This window comes from Homo sapiens, chromosome 5 (genome assembly GCF_000001405.40).
Source record: "Homo sapiens chromosome 5, GRCh38.p14 Primary Assembly".
Classification (NCBI taxonomy): Eukaryota; Metazoa; Chordata; class Mammalia; order Primates; family Hominidae; genus Homo; species Homo sapiens.
This window is the reverse complement of record NC_000005.10, coordinates 175,531,667-175,553,714: the sequence shown is the minus strand read 5'-3', so window position 1 is coordinate 175,553,714 and position 22,048 is coordinate 175,531,667. Positions and strand designations below refer to the sequence as shown.

The window sequence follows — 22,048 nt, the reverse complement described above, 5'->3', positions numbered from 1 at the left end:
CTTGTGATCCACCCGCCTTTGCCTCCCAAAGTGCTGGGATTACAGGCATGAGCTGCTGTGCCCAGCCTCAGTCTTCATTTCTAAATTTAAAATTTTTATTTCTCACTTGTTCCTGAGCACTATCAGTGCTTTTGTCCTACGTCCTCCTACATTTAGCCATCTCATTTCTGGGCTTTTGTGATTCTGTTGCAGATTGTTGTTTCATAGCTGCTATCATTTTTTAAAGTTCCTTAGCTCATTTTGAAATATTAGGTTATGATTCTTTTCTTCTTGGAGCCATATATTTCTGATGTGTTTTTATTTTCATAGATATATTACCATGATTATTATTCTATTCTCTCTTAGTCTTTGACCACAATCTTTTTCTGTTTACTTATAGTTAAGTGGGATGGGTTTCCCTGTAATTTTAAGAGGAAGTTCTGTTGTTAAAAGACAATTTTCTTAAAAAATAAAATCAGGACTCTCATACAGATACAAAAATAAACATATGTTCAACATTACTTTACTTGCTAATCAATGAGAGAACCAGGCAGATGTTATAACTGGTTCAAAGAAAATGTCAGAAAAGCACAAATTTATGTGGAGTCAAGGAATGTGGAAATGAATTGCAAATGAAGACAAACCTCTGTGTGTGTGTGTGTGTGTGTGTGTGTGTGTGTGTGTGTTTGTGTGTAGGGGTGAGATAAATCAATGAAATCTCTATGAGATAGGGCAGAATCTGCATATCTACCACTTACATACTACTTTCAGAGTTAGAAAATAGCTCCCATACAATTAGAATCTAATAAGGCATAAGGGATGCACATAGATAATGCATAACTTTCTTTTCTCTCTTTTTTTTTTTTTCGAGATGGAGTCTCACTCTTTGCCCAGGCTGGAGTGCAGTGGCGTGATCTTGGCTCACTGAAACCTCCCCATCCTCGGTTCAAGTGATTCTCCTGCCTCAGCCTCTTGAGTAGCTGGGGTTACAGGCGCGCACCACCACTCCCAGCTAATTTTTGTATTTTTAGTAGAGACAGGGTTTCACCATGTTGGCCAGGTTGGTCTCGAACTCCTGACCTCAAGTGATCCACCCACCTCGGCCTTCCAAAGTGCTGGGATTACAGGCGTGAGCCACAGCACCTGGCCGATAGTGCATAGTTTTCTACTGAGGAATATGATTTTTTTTCTATACTGTGCAAGAGGTAGGGGTGGACCAGCATTCCTAGCCACTGTGAACTGTCCACCTTCATGCAGCAGAAAGGACTTGCCCAAACATTGTGCTAAGGAGCTTGACCAGACTTTAGCCTGGCTTCCACCTGTACTAGACCACGACCTTAAAGGTAACACCATCCCCTGTGCTGAGGCTTTGGTCAAAAAAACTCAATGCAGCCAAACTGCAAAGTGTTCATAGTTCCAACCCACATTGCCAAACCATTTTCAGTAATTCTTCACTTACATCCCTCTGTAGTATTCCATTTCCCCATAACTCCTTCTTATTTCCTCTTTGTTTTCCCTTTGAAAACCTCACTAAGTCACCTTTGTCTTAGTTGGAGTCGGGCTCTGTTTATGCTGGAGTCTCTCTTCCCTGCTGCAATAGTCAGGGTAAAATCTGTCTTGCCACCATTAATAAGGGTCCAGTGCTATTTCTCTTTGATATCTCACAGTCTATGGCTCTTCTGTTGCTTTCACAAACATTAAAAAATAGGACCTCTCAGCCGGGCGCGGTGGCTCACGCCTGTAATCCCAGCACTTTGGGAGGCTGAGGTGGCCGGATCACCTGAGGTTGGAAGTTCGAGATAAGCCTGACTAACATGGAGAAATCCTGTCTCTACTAAAAATACAAAAAATTAGCCAGGCATGGTGGTGCATGCCTGTAATTCCAGCTACTCAGGAGGCTGAGGCAGGACAATTGCTTGAACTTGGGAGGCTGAAGTTGTGGTAAGCCAAGATCATGCCATTGTCCTCCAGCTTGGGCAACAAGAGCAAAACTCTGTCTCAAAAAAAAAAAAAAAAAAAGGACCTTTCAGTGCAGCAGGTTCCCCAGTACTTTGAGAGATCTTTCTCCTCTGCTCACCACCCCACCCCCTTCCAAGTATCCTACGGATTTATAACAAAATCGAGTTTAAAGATCTTAATTGGCTTTTATTTGTGATTGTAGAATTGGGTAACACCTCATTCTGTAAAACAGAATAAGTGTTCCAATGAGCTCAGCAGATTTTGTAAGCAGAAAAGGGCTGAGAAAAGCAGAAACAAAAACACAAAAAGCAAATTTGTCATTTCGAAGTTACTTTTCTTATAAAGGGGAAAGCAGAGGGAATTTCTGTATCATGCTGGCTAAGACTGGCTGTTTGGAGATTTGGCGATTATCTCCCTCTCTCTTTCTTCTGATTTCTTGGAAGTTTAGATAAACAATTTCATTTCAGCTTGGTAGTGTGGAACTTTAGCATGAGGGACTCCTCTCTGGTTTGGTCTGTTGGGCCTGACTCAGGAGCTTCATCCAAACCAATTGCTCTACCTGGCAATTCCTACATTTTGGCCGGGATTTCACCTAGAAGAGGGTGTGACCAAAACCTAGGGCATCAACTCTACTCTCAGTCAACATCATCTTTGCTTTTTGGTGTCAAAATGTCATTTATAGGTTACACTGTCCTTGTTATCATTAATTTCTTGACATTTTCATCATTCCAACCAGAGACCATTCAATGTTCAGCAAATGGGTGCATGGAGGCATTTAAGGCTTTTTGAGAGGATACCATGAACCAAGGAGACTACTATTATGACTCTCAGGAGTATAATACCAAGAGTGTGGAGAATGCTCCTTAGCCAGGGGCATATTCCATGACCCAAACCGATGAAAATGAAATAGATCAAAGAATGAGCAACGAAACTCAAAATCAAATAGATCAAAGAATGAGCCAGATGAGAAGTCTTTCCATTTTAACCAAGTAGCCTGTTAGTTAATTTTTTCACTGAGTCTCTACAATACCCAATTTATTTATCCATATGTAACAGGAAGCATCAGCAACTGCATAGACTCCTTCCTGTTCAGTTAGTAGGGAAGTCTATTAACCAGTATCCCATGACTGGGTTAAATTAAAGCAGAGAGTGAGAACAAGTGGGGCTAGAAGTCTGACTCCATAAAAGCACAATTTGAACAACAGTTGCATTAGGGAAGCTGCTGAAGTTATTCACTGGGTGGACTAACAGATCCTTTAGGTCATGTAAAGGTTTGGGTTAGGCATGACAGATGCAATATTTTGACAAGTTAACCACAGAAATTCCAACTATAGCATTATCCTGCCAAGTGAAAAAGGTAGGCATAAAAGCAAAGAAAAATTAAGAGGGGTAAGAGTCTCGTTGTGACAGGGAGTTTTGTTCTGAAGTCTTGGGAGTAGCTATCCACAGCGTGAAGCTATCAGCTTCTCACCCCAGTTTGCAGTTTGAATATCATTGGTTATGGCTTTGGGCATTTTGGTGAACTCTCTGTGCAGCCCACACGCAAGGCATCAGGCATGAGACTTTCCCCTTGAAGTTTATATCCAGCTTCTGTTCATAGGACTTGAAGAGAGCAGTTTTTGTTCTTAGTTTGAGTTGTAGCCAGTCCAAAACCATGGCCTCCTATACATTTTATATAACGAAACTTTTCCTACCTTTACCTACAAATGTCCTACCCTGATCATCTTGCATTCTGTTCTCATCAGTGTCCCGTCCGTGTGGCTCTTTTCTCTTTGCATTTTGGAGACCCAGGAAAGCCCACAGAGCTGCGCTCCAGGAGACTCTTACCACTGTCAGTGCCCCCATTCCAGCTTCCTGTATTCTGGGATACTCAGTCACCTGACTGTGTTAAATATGGTGTCTGAGGCTTTTTTCTTTTGCTATCCTAGTTATTCTGTATGTGTTTGTGGGAGGAGTTGGGGAGATAAACTACATTGCCCCTGTCTTCACTGTCTTTAACTTGACCTTTTAGAAGAGACACATGCTATTTACAGGGTCCCTACAAGGCAGCTTCACCATTTTTTTTTTTTTTTTGAGACAGAGTCTGGCTCTATCGTCCAGGCTGGAGTGCAGTGGCACGATCTTGGCTCACTGCAACCTGCACCTCCTGGGCTCGGGTGATCCTCCTGCCTCAGCCACCTGAGTAGCTGGGATCACAGGTATACACCAACATGCCCGGCTAATTTTTGTACTTTTATTAGAGACAGGGTTTCACCACGTTGCCCGGGCTGGTCTCGAACACCTGACCTCAAGCGATTTCCCCCCTCAACTCCCCCAGCCTCTGCTTCGGCCTCCCAAAGTGCTGGGATTTCAGGCATGAGCCACCACGCCCAGCTGGGCTTCACTTTCTTACTCATGCACCCACAGGAGGTTTATTTCTGTGACTGCAGGACCAGCCCAAACTGAGCCTACTGTTAAGAAAGTGTCCTGTTACCTTGTAGGTAGAACAGAGACGAAACTTCAAGTCACTTAGTGAGGGCATGCGCAGTAGGATAAAGCTCTCAACAACACCCAGAACCAATGATCGATCCCTCCCCACAGGACCAGGAAGCCTGGGACTTGGTGGGAACCTGACAAATCGGAACCTGACGACCGGAACTCCACCACCGGAACTCCACCACGGGAACTCTTTCAGAAGCGAGGGGTCCATTGGTTAAAAAGATCCAGGACTAACATCCACCTCAGCATACCTTACCATAAATGGTCAGCTTCGAAGCCCTCCAATCAGACTCTGACAAGCCAACATTCCTAAATCCTTTCCCTTGCCCTCTGATCCCTAAAACTTGCTGCAGACCCCAAACTGGGGAGACAGTTTGGGACCCTGTTCTCCTTGCTGTCTGGCTTTGCAATAAAGCCTTTTTTTTCTCAAGCGCTGGTGCTATGGTATTGGCTTCCGTGCACATCCGGCAGCAAGCCCATTTGCTGGATAACATTTCCACACAGCCTTTATTTTACTGCATCTATTTCTGATACTCAGCTCTGGCTCAGCGTGTGTCTCAGAAGCTATATTCTTATATTTTTCACTTTATAATACCAAATAAGATGCTCCTTCCTTCCTTCCTTCATTTCTTTTTTCTTTTTTTCTCTCCTTCCTTCCTTTTCTTCTTTCGTCTTTTTCTAAATTTCTTTCTAGTAAAAAGAATGGAATTCAATGCCTCCCTCATTCAATTTCTAGGACCTTCTTGAACTCTGTTCAATTTCCTCATCTGTAAAATGGAAATAATATGAACACATCAACTTTGAGGAGATGAAGTGTAACCCTCAGTCAGTGCCTTTCTGCCTCTCTAATTGGTCATAAGATTGAAACTTAAGTAGATTTTCAAGTGTTTTGTTTGCATTTAATGAATAACTTTAGTTTGTTTTGTTTTTTAAAAACAGACATGTACAGATGTTTAAAAATTCCTCTTTGAAGAAATACCCCCACTCCCCGCATTGGGTGGAGAAGAAAGAAAGAAAAGGAAACCAGGAATTCAGTTGCTTTTTTCTTCAGCGGCTGCCAGTCACAGCTCCCTCTCTCTGGGTCTGAGTCCCTCACAGGAAAAGAGAAAAAAGAAGAAAAAGGGCTTTCTGCCCACAATTTGAATTAACCCCTTTTATGACCATATTTCTTTTCCCTCCTGTATTGATATCTTCCTGTGCCACATTTTAGCCTTTTGCAAAAACTGCCAGGAATGATTAGAAGGGAGAACAAAAGGATTGGGGACTCTGAAAGGTAAAGACTCCACACATTTGAATTCAATTACCTCTTTTATGATGCAAATATGCCCCCTTTGATTCTGCCTTCCTTGTATGATTAAATGGGAAGTCTCTTAGGATAAATGGAGCATAGATGCAGAAATTAAGGCTCAACATTTCCCAAGTCCCTTTACCTTGGAAGCCAAGTAACTCTCCACCCCACACCCCCAACTGTTTTCTTTAAAACGTGGTTCGTGTTCCCCGGGGTGGTGGGGGGAAATAAAATTTTCAATTATTGTTCCTGGCTTAGAGCTAAAAACAAAAAACAAAAAACAAAACCCCAATCTTCTGGTTTCCCAAAGCTCACTCCATCCCCTAGGTTAGATCCGGGTGGTGTTTCCCGCCTGATAAAGGAAATACCTGGCTTGCATTTTGCTGAGGGCTTCCTGTGTACAGGGCATGGTGCCAACCTCTCCCCATGCTTTATCTTGTTTCTCCTCCCAGCAGCTCACAAGGTGGGCACTTGCTATGATTATCCTATTTTGCAGATGAAGAATCTGAGATTTGCCCAGGTAGAGTAGCTTAGCTACTGCCAAAACCAGGATTTAAACCTAGAGAAAGGTTCAAACAGCTGTAGCCACGCTATAGTATGCGAAGAATCCCAAGGGCTTTCAGACAAGGACTCAAGCCTGTTTTCTCTTCTTTTAATTTTTAAAATATTACATTGAGACATGAAGACTGAATATATTCAAGGTGTACAAAGTGGTGATTTTGTTACAGTAGGTAGTCAGGCAGACATGAGCAGGAGAGGAGAGGGTCCCCCTTCCTTCCCACCAGGAATGGGAGGTGACCATCAGGTGATGGTCAGGCAGTTGTGAACTGTGTCTCTAAAATAATACTTGGTGGCAGCCGGCGCCAGGGAAAGGCCGTCTCCCAATAGATATAAACACCTGGGGCCGGGTGCGGTGGCTTACGCCTGTAATCCCAGCACTTTGGGAGGCCGAGGCGGGTGGATCACGAGGTCAGGAGATCGAGACCATCCTGGCTAACGCGGTGAAACCCCGTCTCTACTAAAAAAATACAAAAAATTAGCCGGGCGCAGTGGCGGGCACCTGTAGCCCCAGCTACTCGGGAGACTGAGGCAGGAGAATGGCGTGAACCCGGGAGGCAGAGCTTGCAGTGTGCCTAGATGGGGCCACTGCACTCCAGCCTGGGTGACAGAACAAGACTCCGCGTCTCAAAAACAAAAACAAAAACAAAAACACACCTGAAATTGGTGATCAGCAGCTTCCCAATAAGATAGCAAAAGTTGGGCGAGTGGGCTCAAGCATGCACACTAAGAGGCAACATGGCAGGATTTAAACACTTGGCTGGTAAGGGAAGAATGCCTCAAACGAGCATGCATACAACTCCAGTAAACACACTGAGCCTGCAGCCCCTCCCAAATGCTAGCAGGCCACTGTGCATGCAGACAGCCCATCCGAGGGAAGAATCAGGGAAGTAATGCAACCCTGGAAGCGTGTCAACATGTAAAACCCCAAGTCAAAGGAACAGCACAGTTGAATCTCTGAAGTCACCTGCTTGGCCCTCTTCCAGTTTACTTCTTTTCATTCCTGCTCTAAACTTTTCTTTTCTTTCTTTCTTTTTTTTTTTTTTTTGAGACAGTCTTGCTCTGTCGCCCAGGCTGGAGTGCAGTGACGTGATCTTAACTCACTGCAACCTCCGCTTTCTGGGCTCAAGCGATTCTCCTGCCTCAGCCTCCTGAGTAGCTGGGATTATAGGCACGCGCCACCACACCCGGCTAATTTTTGTATTTTTATAGAGATGGGGTTTCACCATGTTGGTCAGGCTGGTCTCGAACTCCTGATCTTGTGATCTGTCCACCTCAGTCTCCCAAAGTGCTGGGATTATAGGTGTGAGCCACTGCACCCGGCTGCTCTAAACTTTTTAATTAACTTTTGCTTCTGCTCTAAAACTTGACTCTGTCTCTCACTCTGCTTTCTATCCCTCAGTCGAATTCTTTCTTCTGAGAAAGCAAGAGCTGAGGTTGCTGCAGACCCATACAAATTCGCCATTGTTAACAATTTCATGTACATATATGTTGTGTTTTAGGGGAGGAATAATGACTTCCCTCCACTCTTCTAGGTTCATTGGCTAGGCTATGAATTAAATTGACATAGGACAGACTAACAGGAGAAAAACTAATTACATATGTATGCACAGGAGTTCCACAGAATATGACACTGGAGGAATGATCAGATGATTGAAGCTTATATAGCATCCTGAGCTACAGAAATGAATAGGAACTTGGGGCTTCTGGAGGGTGGTAGAGATACTAGTTATGGGAGGGTGAGGGAGGAAATGCATGGGGATAAACGCTGTCCTGTTATACAGACAAAAAGTCTCTCAGGTAATGAAAATTGTCTGGAGCAGCTCTTAGAAGAACAGGTGGTAATCTGTCTGGGCTGGTGTCAACCTCCAGCTGCCTCTCCTGTGCTCCCAATTTATCCTTCCTGGTTGATAAAATCCCCAGGGAGATGCCTAACAATTGAGTTTCTTTCTCTTTTTCTTTTCCTTTTCCTTTTTTTTTTTTTTTTTTTGAGACAGGGTCTCAGTCTGTCACCCAGGCTGGAGTGCAGTGGTGTGAACATGGCTCACTGCTGTCAAGCCTGGTTTTTGCTTCATTCTGTATCTTGAACTTCTGGAAGCAGAGAGAAACATAAAAATGGGCACAGTGTGCTCTAAAGAAAAAGAAAGAATGAGTGAAAGATGAATAAATAAATGACCAAATCAACGTAAGAACAATGCATGAAGATCAAGCAGAAAGACCCTGGGCTTTGGAATCAAAAGAGATGTCTGGGTTCTAGTCTCAGCCAGGCCAGGGCCTTGCAGGACAGCCTCTCTGGGTCTTGATTTGCCCTTCCATCAAATAGTGTCATAAACACTTCCTCTTAAGGTTGTGGGGATAATAAAGTAGTCAAATAACCTGTGCGGAAGCTCTTTGTTAATTTAATAGCATTTTGTATAGGGAGACATGCAATGTCTTGTCCAAACCAGGACAGTTGAGAATGAAAGGGAGCACTACTAACAATGAATGAAGTCCATCTGAAGGCCAACCATTCTCATTCTACATATGCAAATTGTCACTTTGGCTTCTGTCATGAGGAGTGCCAGGTTAGAAATAGCCAGGTCCACACATGCTTGTGTCTTTCCACAGTGTCAGCCTTGTATTGATGGTGATTCCATCACAAAAGCCACGAGCTCTGTGGAGTTCCCAAGGAGGCAGTTCTCCTTAATACTTCCCATTTACTCCGTAGTCAGAGCTGCGGGCACTCCGTAAGTCAGTCAATACTGCAAACCATGCGTGATAGTGTACTTGAAGTGTTATAGATTAAACACTCCACACAAACAATATAGCATTTAACATCAAGAGGAAAAAGAGATAGGAGAAAGGGTTAATAAATGAGTCCAGGGGGAGCGAGGAAGACACAAGTTGTCGTGTTCTGGGCTGGGCAGTCTGTTGGTCTTGCAAGGAAGAGTCTTTGAGGTGGCAGAGCCTTTGGCAGCAGATGCCAAGTTCTTATCACAAGTGACAGCAAGATGGTGTCAGTTAAGACTACCATTTTGAGCTGCTGAAGGCCTAATCTTTTATAGTCACAGAGTTCTCTGGTGAGAACTGATAGCGGAAGAGATTGCTTGTTTGTGTCCTTATCTGGTTGGATGCAGTCTTTACTTTTTAAATTTGTTTATTAAACAAAACATCTTATCCTTGTTGGCAGAGTGCCCTATGAATTATCAAGTGGAGCCTTTTCCTGAGATGGAGTTAGTTATGTCAAGGGTACTCCATACAACTTCCCTAAGAACAGAAGAGACATCCTTCTGGTCTAGAGGAAAGCCCTTGGGAGGTGTCTAATAAAGTTATGAACTCAGTCTTCTTTTTTTTTTTTTTTTTTGAGACAGAGTCTCACTCTGTTGCCCAGGCTGGAGTGCAATGGTGCCATCTCAGCTCACTGCTACCTCCACCTCCCGGGTTCAAGCTATTCCCATGTCTCAGCCTCCCGAGTAGCTGGGATTACAGGCACCTGCCACCATGCCTGGCTAATTTTTGTATTTTTAGTAGAGATGGGGTTTTGCCATTTGGTCAGGTTGGTCTCGAACTCCTGACCTCAGAGGATCCACCCGACTCTGCCTCCCAAAGTGCTGGGATTACAGGCGTGAGCCACCGCGCCCAGTCTTCGAACTCAGCCTTCTTGGTGCCTGACTTTGAATGCTGGCCTGCCCCACCCACTCACCAGGCTTCCAAACCACTTCATAGAATCGTGCCATTTTCAGTTCAATTCCACAAAGGTTTAGATGATTGACAGCAGAGTCTTATTTTGTGTATTTGCATCCCATTTCTGCCTCTTACAGGCTGTAGGATTTTTGAGTAAGATATATACCTCTCTTTGCCTCAGTTTTGTTCCCTGCAAAATGGGATATTCATATCCAAGTTCATGAGTTGTGTGAGGATTACATGCTTAGCACAGTCCCTGGCCATGACAGCCCTTAATAAAATAACTGGTCTTTCCTCTTCTTTCCATGAAGCCCGTTAGGGTATTTATCAAAATTCGAGCATCACAGAAGACAATGAGAATTGGACTGAGTTGTCGTGGTCTATATATTTACGTGAATAACACAAGATAATATACCCTGTTACCCGTGTTTGTCATTACAGTAACCATAATGGGAACTGGAGCAGAAGGAATGCTCCCCACACCCTCCTGGCTGTCCTGAGTTGGCCTGCAAGCTGACCATGCTCCTTCTCGAACACTGGGCTCTCTTCACTGGGCTGAGGGTTTCCCTCTTCACACAAGTGCACCCAGATGTGCTGTGGGGCTTGTCACTGCCTCCCAGGGCATCCCTTACAAATGAGGCTTGGGAGTCTGGGGACAAGCCCTCCAGCTTCCCGGCAGTTCTCATGCATATTCCACACTGTTTCTCAGAGGGCCTGAGCCCTAGGTGCCCACAGTAGGAAGCCACTTGGGATGACAACTTTTAGTGGCTTTTCTCCTTTCACTCTTCCAACTGTGCTTCCTGGGATTACCTCATAAGTCAACCTTGAAGTAGAGTCAAGAAGTCCTACTCTTTAAGGGACCCACAATGAGATGGTAACTAAGCCATATTAAGAGCTGGCTTTGTGCCAGGTGCGGAGCTGAGCATACTGCCTGTGATCCTCATGAAATCCTCATTAGGCAGGTACTATTATTATTCCCATTTGCAGATGAGAAAACAGGCTCAAAGAGGTAAGTGACTGTCCCAAATTCACACAGTGACTTATTTTCCAGGACATGGTGCCTGGGCTGGAAGCCAGGTTTGTGCTGGTTGATTCTGTTTTGATTTCATTTCAAAATCAAATTCTTGCTCTGGTCTATTTCATGCGTTGGATCTGCTGAATCTCCTACACAGATGAGACTTCGGAGACCAGCTCCTTGGGGGTGACAGTGGGCTAGAGAATATCTAGACCATGGAGGTCTACAGTTGAAAGTCTGTGGCTGTGAGGTATAGATGAAATTGAGATTCTGACTGACAGAAGAGCTAAGCAGAGCCTCTGGGGCAAGAAGGGTGACTAACCCTGTGTGACTTGGAGACGCAGGCACCCTGCTGGGAACTTCCCCATGCTGTTCTCAGAAGCAGAGAAGCCCCACTCTTCCTCTAACCTGCTGCACCTTCCAAACCCAGGTCTTTGCCTTTCAGGGCCTGTTGATCTTGGGGAAGCCAAAGCAGCTCTTCCCGTGCTATCTGCACAGTGAGTGCTTTCCTTTACTTGGTCAATCAAGTCCCCAAGGCAGGACTTTGAGGGACACCATACTGAGGGGAAGCCCTTAATTTGAGCTCTTGTTAATGAATTTGTGACTAGACCAGGAAACTTCATTCCAAAATTGGACAAATTCCAGGAAGGAAAGTTCATTTTTCAAATCTAGAGGAAATTAGAGCCTGGAAAACATCCAGGGGAAAGGACAGAGCAGTGAGAAGCGTGTCTTCCCCTGTGGAGGGTGCAGATCCGATCCCCAAACCCAATCTTGATTCCATCTCTTCCTGGCTGTGCTTCCCCTCTCCCCACACACAAGGTGAGCCACATCATCCTTCTGTTCCTGTTTCCTCACCTATAACGTGGAGTGCTATCGGTTGCTATCTGATAGGATTGCTGTAGAGACTAAATGGCAAGGCACATAGATCCCTTAGCACAGTGCCTGATGTATAATACATGCTCAGTAAATGTTAGCCAAGCAAAGGGCATATTGGGCACAGCAGCTATGAAAGGTAAAAGGGAGGAAAACCTTCAGACTGTGATGCGGAGCTGACATTCTGTGAATGCAGCACAAAGTCCTAGAGCAAAGATGGGTTTTAGAAGAATCCCACATTTGACAGAAATGGCCCAGCCCAAGTACCCCCACCATGCTCAGTCACTGGCTGAGGGGGGCTTCCTGGGAAGAGTATGGCCTTGGCTAGAACTTGCATGCAGAGACGGACCCTGAAAGCTGTAGCAGAAGGAGCAGCCAGTTGCATGTCTTGTAGCTGAAAGGCACACTCTTCCTGAAGGGAGATTGGAGCATGCACCTTTGTGGCTGCCGCCGGGAGTCCCCTCTGAAGCACACCCAGTTCTTGGCCTTGCTCAGGTCTGCAACGTCCTTAAAGAGATTGTTTTTCTTCTGGTCTTCATGCAGCTTTTGGAAAATTCTCTCCCTACTGGTGGGACCTGTCTTTCACTAGCATTTCCTTCCATTCCTCCAGCAATGCATTGTCCTCAGTTCCTCCTCTGTGTAAGGTAAAGCCTCAGAGAGCAGGGCCCTGTGGGACAGCTTGGGGGCGGGGGGCCGTGGCTCCAGCTCTTCCAGCGCAGTCTCAGGTGGTTGTCCTCCAAATCCACCCTTTTTTTTTTTTAAAAACAAAGTTTCGCTCTGTAACCCAGGCTTTAGTGCAATGGTGCAATCTTGGCTCACTGCAACCTCAGCCTCCTGGATTCAAGCGATTCTCATGTCTCAGCCTTTCCAGTAGCTGGGATTAGAAGCATGTGCCAACACACCCGGCTGATTTTTGTATTTTTAGTAGAGATGGGGTTTCGTCATGCTGTCCAGGCAGTTCTCGAACTCCTGGCCTCAAGTAATCCACCCGCCTGGCCTCCCAAAGTGCTGGGATTACAGGCCTGAGCCACCACGCCCAGCCCAAATCCACTCTTTGACATCTCCCCACCTCTGTGCCGTGGATACATCATTCTGTCATCTCAGTTGTCCAGCCGCTAGGTGAGGATCAGGTTCTGCTTCCCTCTGTCTCTGACTCTCATACATGTTGTGGTGAATTGAAATTGGCCACACATTCCTTACTACTGCTCCCATCAAGAGGCGAGCTCCAAGCCTCCTGCCTGGCTGGCTGACTCTGGGTTTATCCATGTGACTTGGCCAGTGGGACATCAGCAAACATGACCCAAGCAGAGCCTGGTGTATTGCTGTCCTGAGGCCACTGTGCAAGAAAGCCAGTTTGGCCTTTTGCGGGAGGAGAGGCCGTGGGGAGGAGCACTGAGGTGCCCCAGCCAACAGCCAGCACCTACTACCAAGCATGTGGCTGAGGCCATCTCGGAACTGCTGGCAACTGAATGCAGCTACATGAGTGAGCCCAGGTGGGACCAGCCAGAGAATGGCCCAACCAACCCACAGACTCAGGATAAATAATAAAGGCCTTGTCATTTTAAGGCACTGTGTTTGGAGGGGTTTATTACTCAGTAATAGTTAATACACATGTACCCATAAAACACCTTCCAAGGTGAAAAGATAATTCTCTGAAACCTTACAATTTAAGTCCACCAGGGGCAAAAGACATGTTTCCTGGCTGCTGCGTATTTGCAAGGCTGCCCTCCTGCAGAGAGGTCAAAGGAGTCACAATTTCACATCATGCAGCGGAGCAGAGTCCCTCTCCTCCACCCCTCTGCTCTCACACAGTACCTGCAGCATTTGGGAATGAGAAACAGGCCCATCACAGAGCCAGAAGTGTGACATACACTCTCACAGCTACCAAAGACTAGCAGGATCCTGGAATTATCACATGGAAGCAATTGCTTCAGGGTCATGCCCATCCCTAGTCCCTGTGGGAGAGGAAATGAAGGAGAAATCTTCTTTTGGATGCATGAGGAGCTTATGCTTTAGAAGTTAGCCAAATTGTGTGTGTGCTTGACTTCTTTGTTAATTAATGCATTCAGCAACCCCTTATTGAGGGTCGGCTATATGCCAGGCATCCTGGATATTTTCTCAGAGGAAAAGGATGCCTACTTTGACTCAAATATGAACCAAGAGGCAAGCAAAGATTCTTCTCAGAGAGTAATTTAGCATTCTCTAGGTCAGGGACATAAGGCACTTTGCCAGTGGGACAAACTGTGACTCCAGCTCTTCCAGCACAGTCTCAGGTGGTTGTCCTCCAAATCCACTCTTTTTTTTTTTTTTTTTTTTTTAAACAAAGTTTCACTCTGTCACCCAGGCTTTAGTGCAATGGTGCAATCTTGGCTCACTGTAACCTCTGCCTCCCGGATTCAAGTGATTCTCATGTCTCAGCCTTTCCAGTAGCTGGGAGTACAAGCGTGTCCAAGTATGCTTTTTGACTACTTCATAAAGCATAGACTAAGAAATTTCAAAGGAAAAGATGCTAAAAATTAAAGGTATTTTATTTTTTCTCATTATGAAAGTAACAGCTACTCATTGCAAAACATTTAGAAAGCACAAAAAGTATAAAACAGAATAACTCTCACTTGCAAGCTTGTTGTCACTAAGAGTTTGGTGTTATCCTTGGTTTCATCCTGGCTTCAAGAGACGCCATTTAAACTGGGCTTTGAAAAGTGGGTAAGAGTTTGCCAGGAAAATCAAAGATGGAAAGGCCTTCCAGAAAGAAGAAATGGCATGTGCACAGGCTCAGAGATGTGAAAGTGGTGCAGGGTCATGGTTTGGAAAAGCTGACAGGAAGAGGACAGAGGGCCAGAGAAAGGACAGTGGCTTTGACAGGCTGGCAGGGATGTGGTCATGGAGGACCTCAAATAGTAGATCAAGGAGCCAGGAGTTTATCCTGGTGGCAACGAGAGACCAAAGGGCTTTAGGGGCGAGTGTGAGTGTTCTGGTAGTGTGGAGGATGGACCGGAAGGGGAAAGTCTGGGAGCAGGAGTCTGTGGAGGCTCTGGTCCAATAGGGAGAGAAAATGGTCTGAAATAGGGTGGTGATCATGGAAGCCACAGATGTTCACCTCAAGGGGTGAGAAAGCAAACCGAAAAAGAGGTACCTTTAGATTTTCATTCTCACAAAGACAATGATATCCTGTTGGGGAAATGGCCCTGTGGCTAGGGTGAAAATTGGTACCGCCTTTTTGGCAGACAGTTCATTTATTAGCTGTATTATTTGAAGCAAGAACCCAACCTCTCTAGGCCTTAATGCTATTGCATGAAAATGAAGATAACAATAAAATGTATCTTACAGGACTGTTGGAAGGACTAAATAAGATAATGAATATAATGTTCTTATAATGCCTGGCATATCAAAGTAAGTGCTAAATGCAGTTAGCAAGATGATTATCATCATCATTATCATTAAAAAATGTACATGCTCAGGCCGGGTGCAGTGGCTCGCGCCTGTAATCCCAGCACTTTGGGAGGCCAAGGCGGGTGGATCACGAGGTCAGGAGATCGAGACCATCCTGGCTAACATGGTGAAACCTTATCTCTACTAAAAATAGAAAATATTAGCCAGGTGTGGTGGCAGGCGCCTACAGTCCCAGCTACTTGGGAGGCTGAGACAGGAGAATTGCCTGAAGCCGGGAGGTGGAGGCTGCGGTGAGCCGAGATCATGCCACTGCACTCCAGCCTGGGTGACGAAGTGAGACTCCATCTCAAAAAAAAAAAAAAAAAAGAAATGTATATGCTCACATCCTATGAACTAGCTAATCTCACTTCTAGGAACCTCTTTTACAGAAACAATAGCACAAGAATATAAAGCTATGCACAAGGGGACTCATGACAGCATTTTTTTTGTGTGTGTGTAGTAGCAAAATTGTGGAAATAAATGTTCATCAATAGGGGAATGATAAATAAATTATAGGAATTAGTATGTCAGAATTCTATGAAGCTCTTAAAAATGAGAAAGATTAATATATTTTGTCTTGAAAAAAGTTCATGGCATATTTTTAAGGAGAAAAAAATAAGGTTGTAGTATAATTTGTATAACAGGATTTAATTTTTACAGACAATTCAAAAGCAGAAACATTTACAGATGAGCATAATGTTTGTATGAGCCTATGCTAGGCCTGGATGAACACACAGGAAATTGTACCCAGCAGGAGATGGCGGCATGCAGCGTTGGGATGTACTTCGGTGCTATCTTATTCTTATGAGAAAGTATTATTTTACTTTTAATTTTATTTTTATTTTTTAGAGACAGGATCTGTCTCTGTCACCCAGGCTGGAGTGCAGTGGCACGATCATAGCTCACTACAGCCTCAAACTCCTTGGCTTAAGTGATCCTCCTGCCCCAGCCTCTGAAGTAGCTGGGACCATAGCTGCTTGGGAGGTATGCCCACCACACCTGGCTAACTTTTAATTTTTTTGTAGAGACAGGGTCTTGCTATGCCCTATCTTGAACTCCTATGCTCAAGCCATCCTCTGCCTCAGCCTCCCAAAGTGCTAGGATGTGAACCACTGCGTGTGGCCTATTATATTTATAGTAAAAATAAACCAAGTTTTTTAGGTCAGAGAGGTTGAGGTGTGAAGGAGGGCAGAGGGAAGAAGAAGAGTTTGAGGTGGAGCGAGGATGGGAGCGGAGATGGGAATGAATGGAGGAGGCAGGTGCACGCCGGAATAAAGCACGCCGCAGGGCTCCAGACACATCATCTTTCAAATTGCAAACTCCATTCATACTGGAGTCTTTGCCGAGCCATGTTCCCAGTAGCAAATGAATTGCTGTGCGGGGACATCTGCTGCTTGCATTCAGCCTCATTTAGGTTCCTTCTCCCAGGCCAGTCTGAATGGAGTCTTGGTTGTGGTTACCTTGGGATCAGGGCTGGCCTGCCCCTCCCTCTGATGAAACGCAAGTGAAGGGGGACCTGGGCAGATGTTGGTGTATTGACCAGGAGGCCCTAGAGCCAGATGGGCAGGCTCAGTTCTGCCTCTGCCGTTTATTAACTGGCTGATCTTGGGCAAGTTACCTCAATGCTCTATGCCATAACTTCATCTGTGTAGCAGGGGATAACTAGTTATTTCACAGGGTTGTTGTGAGATTAAATGAGGTGTTGTCTAAGGCAAAATAACTGTTCAATGAATTTTAGCCACCACTATCTGTAAACAGGGGCACACTGGATTTAAATGAGATAATAAATGTCAATATTCTTAGCTCAGGTCTGGGCATTCACATCAGTATAATGCATTTAAAAACACCATCCATCAACCTCCAAAGTTATTAAAGTAGATCAAAGCACAATTCTATCTCTAGAACAGCAATTCTCAATCCTGACTGCACCTCAGACTGGCCTGGGGAGCTCAAAATTCCAATTCCCAGGCCTCCCTTGGGTATTGAGATATAATAGGTTTGGATGGGGCCTGAGCAACAGATACTTGGAAACGCTTGGCAGGTGATTTTGGAAGGAAGCCAGGGATGAGAAGCCTTGCTCTACACTGAAATGGGCATGTCCTGTCCATGCTCAGCCAACTTTTAAGGATGGCGTCTTCCATCACTGCCTTTCTCTGCATCTTCTCTCTCCAAAACTGCCTCTTGCCCACTCACCACTCTCAGTTGCTGTGGACCCTCTCTATCTGCCCCCTCTTCTTACTCTCTCTGCTTTTTATTGTGAGGCTCAACTTAGCTGCTTAGGATTCTTTTGTTAATTCCCTATGACCCAGATTTTGTCTTGCAAATGAGCGCAGGTAGCTGAGCTTCCCAGGAAAGTTGAATACAGCCTCATCTTCTCTCTTGGTTATGGTATCTTCTTCCTCCTCATTGGATCTTGATGATCACTGGACTTCCTGTTGTGACTCACCCCTCAGTGAGGGAACCAGATCAGAGGAAAATGTTCTTCTTGGTTCCTGTCCTCCTCACACGTGTCTGCACCTGCACCCTCATGTCCTACCCAGCGCCCAGCCCTTCTCTCACTCACCTGATGCTGCTCCACTCCAGAAGTGGGTCCCAGGATCCCCCCTCCTACATTCTGGATGAAAATTATTATTTAGAGTTTGTATCATGAGGTTGGGTCTTTTGCATTCAATGGAGTTGGCATTTTCTTCTCTAATTTTAATTTTTTTTTTAAATTGTTCTCTCAGCTACCATCTTTCCTGGAGATAGTATTTTTATAATCAGAATAAGATGCATTTTTTAAGATACATTTTTATTATTAACGGGAATAAGAGGGCAGAACTTGTTCTTGATTGCAATCAAACATGATGAAAATGATTTCCTGGCCCCTGGAAACCAGCTGAGATGACTCCCCTGGACTACTAATTTTTGCCAGGCTGACACTGTGGCCGTGCTGGAGATGGCTCGCTTATCTGTCTTTTCCATCTGAATGTTATTGCAGAGAAATAAAAGGACAAATAAAAAAGGATGAGTTCATGTCCTTTGCAGGGACATGGATGAAGCTGGAAACCATCATTCTGAGCAAACTATCACAAGGACAGAAAACCAAACACTGCACATTCTCACTCATAGGTGGGAATTGAACAATGAGATCACTTGGACACAGGGCAGGGAACATCACACACCGGGGCCAGTCAGGGGGTGTGGGGCTGGGGGAGGGATAGCATTAGGATAAATACCTAATGTAAATGATGAGTTGATGGGTGCAGCAAACCAATATGGCACATGTATACCTATGTATCAAACCTGCACGTTGTGCACATGTACCTTAGAACTTAAAGTATATAAAAAATAAAAAGAAATAAAAGGACAAGGGAAGGCAAGTCACACATACTGGGCATTGACTCAGGGTTCTCTGTTTACCCCTTTTAATCTTCACAAAAAGACTGTAAGGTAGCTTTTATTGTACTCATTTTATAGAGGAGAAAACTGAGGACCAGAGAAGGCAAGTGGCTTGTCTCGTATCACAGAAACAGTGGCAGAGCTAAGATTTAACTACTGCTCCTTCTCTGCACAAAACTTTTCCGAAGGAGCCCCAACTTTTAGGATGAAATCCATGCTGCTTCTGTGGGCACTGCAGGGCCCTCATGACTTGGCATCCTGGTGGGATCTTCCTGCACACTACTCTCAGCCACACTTTCCCTGGTCTCCAGGTCTTAGTATGCACTGTCTCCTAGACAGTGCATACCTAGAAGCCCTGGTTTTTTTTCTGCCATTTGCTGCTCCCAGTGAGGAGGTCCTGCTCATCCTTCTGGTGTGGCTGAGGTTTCATCCCCTAAGGCCCTCCCTGTTCCCTGCTCCCTTCCCACCGCCAAGGTTCAGGGCTCAGCCTCCGTGCTCCTGCAGAACCTGGTGTTAATTGACCTGTGTGTCACAGTGCTGACGATGCTGAGGGCAAGGACAGGGGCTGGTCCACCCTGGTTTTTTGTCCTCTCCTCCCACCCCCAACCAGATGCCCGGTACAATGTACCCTAAAGAAATGCATCCGGAATGGACAAATCCACTCCTATCCGTGGGACGCCAAGCCAGGGCATCTTCCCAGCTTGCCGCAGCGGGAGAGACCATATCTTTCTTGTAGCTTCCGCTGCCTCTTTCCTGACTTCGCCTGGTAGATGCACGTCCGCGGGAGGCAAGCGGTTGCCCTGGGCCACCTGCCGGCAGCTGCGGGGAGCGCCCGGCTCCGGCAGCGCGATCTTGCAGACAATGCTGCGCCCTGGCGTCGCCTCTCAGCGCTGCGCCGCTCTCCTGGCTCGGAAATCAGAGCCTGATTCAGGCCTGACAAGGCTCCTGAGGTCCACGCTGTTTCCATCTTTTCCAGTAGGGAGCTGGAATCTAGGGAAGGGTCCACGGTTGGCTCAGTATCCCCAAGGCTTTCGAGCTGGGAGAGCTGAGGGTTGTCCCAGGGCTGCCAGCATGGGAACCTGGGCCGGAATCATCGCCCACCCTGCGAGGAAGCCTGAAGACTTGGGTGTTGCTTCAAGCTATGACATTACTCAAAGGCCTGAACTGGGTGGTTTTTTGATTATAATATGAATACAGGTGCATTCCAGAAAATTTGGGAATTAGAAAAGTGTAAATAAAATAAAGATTACCTGCAAACTCAGAGACACCAACTGTTAACCATTTTGGTGTATATTCTTCTTATATGTCTTTTATGCATATCGATGTATTTATTACAAAATTGAGATTAGAATGTACATAGAATTTTTAAAATAGCATTTAATATGTCCTGAGTGCAGAGGCAGAAAAGAATCTGCAAAAATAGAAAAGCATAAAGAAGAAAATTTAAAAATGACTTTCAGTTTCATCACGTAGATAGCCTTCCTTCCCAATTTAGTTTATATTTATGACAGTCAATCATTATATATATATCTACTTAGCAAGAATTCAAATCAGAAATTTAAAAAAATTCCCAAGATAAAAATTTATTTATTTTTTGAGACGGAGTCTTGCTCTGTTGCCCAGGCAGGAGTGCAGTGGTGCAATCGCGGCTCACTGCAACCTCTGCCTCCCAGGTTCAAGCAATTCTCCTGCCTCAGCCTCCTGAGTAGCTGGGACTACAGGCGCATGCCACCACGCCTGGCTAATTTTTTGTATTTTTAGTAGAGATGGGGTTTCGCCGTGTTAGTCAGGATGGTCTTGATCTCCTGACCTCGTGATCTACCTGCCTTGGCCTCCCAAAGTGCTGGGATTACAGGCGTGAGCCACTGCGCCCAGAGAAAAATTTATTTTTGTACGTTGGATTACCCCATAGTAGTATACACTTAGTATTTTTTTCTGCCTGAAAATTTCTCACCATCTTTGGAAAACATCCTCCAACCTCCCCTTCCTCCAAATCCACCCAACAGGCTCCATTCATATGGCTTCCATAGGAGTAGCCTTGTTCTTCTGTGAACATGAGTGTATACATCTGTGGGATTAGGTTTCAGGAGTGAAACTGCTTAAAACAGAGTTATGCTTTTATACCTTTTGATAGATACTGCCAAACTCTTGTAGACATTGTAGCAATTTGCACTCTGATCAGCACTCATGAGAGTAGCTGTTTCCCAAAAGGGTTACCAGCAAAATGTTGTCAGCCTTTTGTCCCAGGGATCACGCATCCATCTTACATTTAGCTAAAATGTATTGGATGTGCCCTGTGCCAGGTACCAGGTTAAGGGCTGCCTATTTGCTAATACTCACTGCATCCTCACAATAACTCAGTGAGGGAAGCAGTAGTATCTTCATTTTACAGATGAGAAAACTGAGGTTTAGAGAGGTTAGCCTACCTCAGTTTGAAGAACTGAGCTGAATCCAAGCCTGGGAGGTCCAACTCCAAGCATTCATCCTCCTGACCAATGGTTCTCAAGTTTGAATGTCCATCAGAATCATTCAGAAGGCTTGTTAAAAGTTGGCTGGGTCCCAGCTTGAGTTTCTGATTTGGTAAGTGCGAGATAGGCTTGAGAATGGGAATTTCAAAGGTCCCAGTGATGCTAATGCTCTGGTCCAGGGACCACACTTTGAGAACCATTGCTTCTATGATTCTCATATGAGGCCCCACCTGGAAATTACCTTTGACCTTGGCTGGGTGCTCATTGGAACTCTACATATTCTACATACCTTGTATGTATGTGTATGTGAAAGTGAATAAAACCCTTCGTGGTCTTTTGAATATCTCGGGTAAGGTTTGTGGCAAACAATTTCACTTCTTTAAGACTTTCCCTACCTTTTGAATGGAGATGATGCTCAGAGGAACCCTTGGGGGAACTGCAAGGAAGAATGCATGTAAAGAACACTGTGGAGATTGTGAAATGTTGTTCTAAAGCTGGTTATAATTATTCCTGTTGATGGGGAAGCTATGAGAATTTGGGAGGTATAAATTAAGATCGTGGTTCTGGGCCAGGTGTGGCGGCTTACACCTGTAATCCCAGCACTTTGGGAGGCCGAGGCAAGCAGATCATGAGGTCAAGGGATCGAGACCATCCTGGCTAACACGGTGAAATCCTGTCTCTACTAAAAATACAAAAAATTAGCTGGGCGTGGTGGCGGGCACCTGTAGTCCCAGCTACTCCGGGGGCTGAGGCAGGAGAATCACTTGAACCTGGGAGGTGGAGGTTGCAGTGAGCTGAGATTGCACCACTGCACTCCAGCCTGGGCAACAGAGTGAGACTCCGTCTCACAAAAAAAAAAAAAAAAAAAAAAAAAAAATCGTGGTTCTGCCATGGTGTGACACTGGGTAAGTCAGTCCACTTTCCTGAGCATCAAATTTCTTTTCTTTGAAAGTGGGG

General features: G+C 45.2%; 5 annotated features.

Moving 5' to 3' along the window:
* Window positions 5,512–6,434: an enhancer, noted in NCBI's record as "OCT4-NANOG-H3K27ac-H3K4me1 hESC enhancer chr5:174974284-174975206 (GRCh37/hg19 assembly coordinates)". NCBI's record gives its function as "activates a minimal SCP1, AML or CMV promoter by ChIP-STARR-seq in primed H9 embryonic stem cells {active_cell/tissue: H9 hESC(primed)}" and the evidence as "EXISTENCE:reporter gene assay evidence [ECO:0000049][PMID:30033119]".
* Window positions 13,152–13,653: an enhancer, noted in NCBI's record as "H3K4me1 hESC enhancer chr5:174967065-174967566 (GRCh37/hg19 assembly coordinates)". NCBI's record gives its function as "activates a minimal SCP1, AML or CMV promoter by ChIP-STARR-seq in primed H9 embryonic stem cells {active_cell/tissue: H9 hESC(primed)}" and the evidence as "EXISTENCE:reporter gene assay evidence [ECO:0000049][PMID:30033119]".
* Window positions 19,203–19,342: an enhancer, noted in NCBI's record as "active region_23679". NCBI's record gives its function as "activates an Ori minimal core promoter by ATAC-STARR-seq in GM12878 lymphoblastoid cells {active_cell/tissue: GM12878}" and the evidence as "EXISTENCE:reporter gene assay evidence [ECO:0000049][PMID:35858748]".
* Window positions 19,203–19,746: a biological region, named in NCBI's record as "H3K4me1 hESC enhancer GRCh37_chr5:174960972-174961510".
* Window positions 19,208–19,746: an enhancer, noted in NCBI's record as "H3K4me1 hESC enhancer chr5:174960972-174961510 (GRCh37/hg19 assembly coordinates)". NCBI's record gives its function as "activates a minimal SCP1, AML or CMV promoter by ChIP-STARR-seq in primed H9 embryonic stem cells {active_cell/tissue: H9 hESC(primed)}" and the evidence as "EXISTENCE:reporter gene assay evidence [ECO:0000049][PMID:30033119]".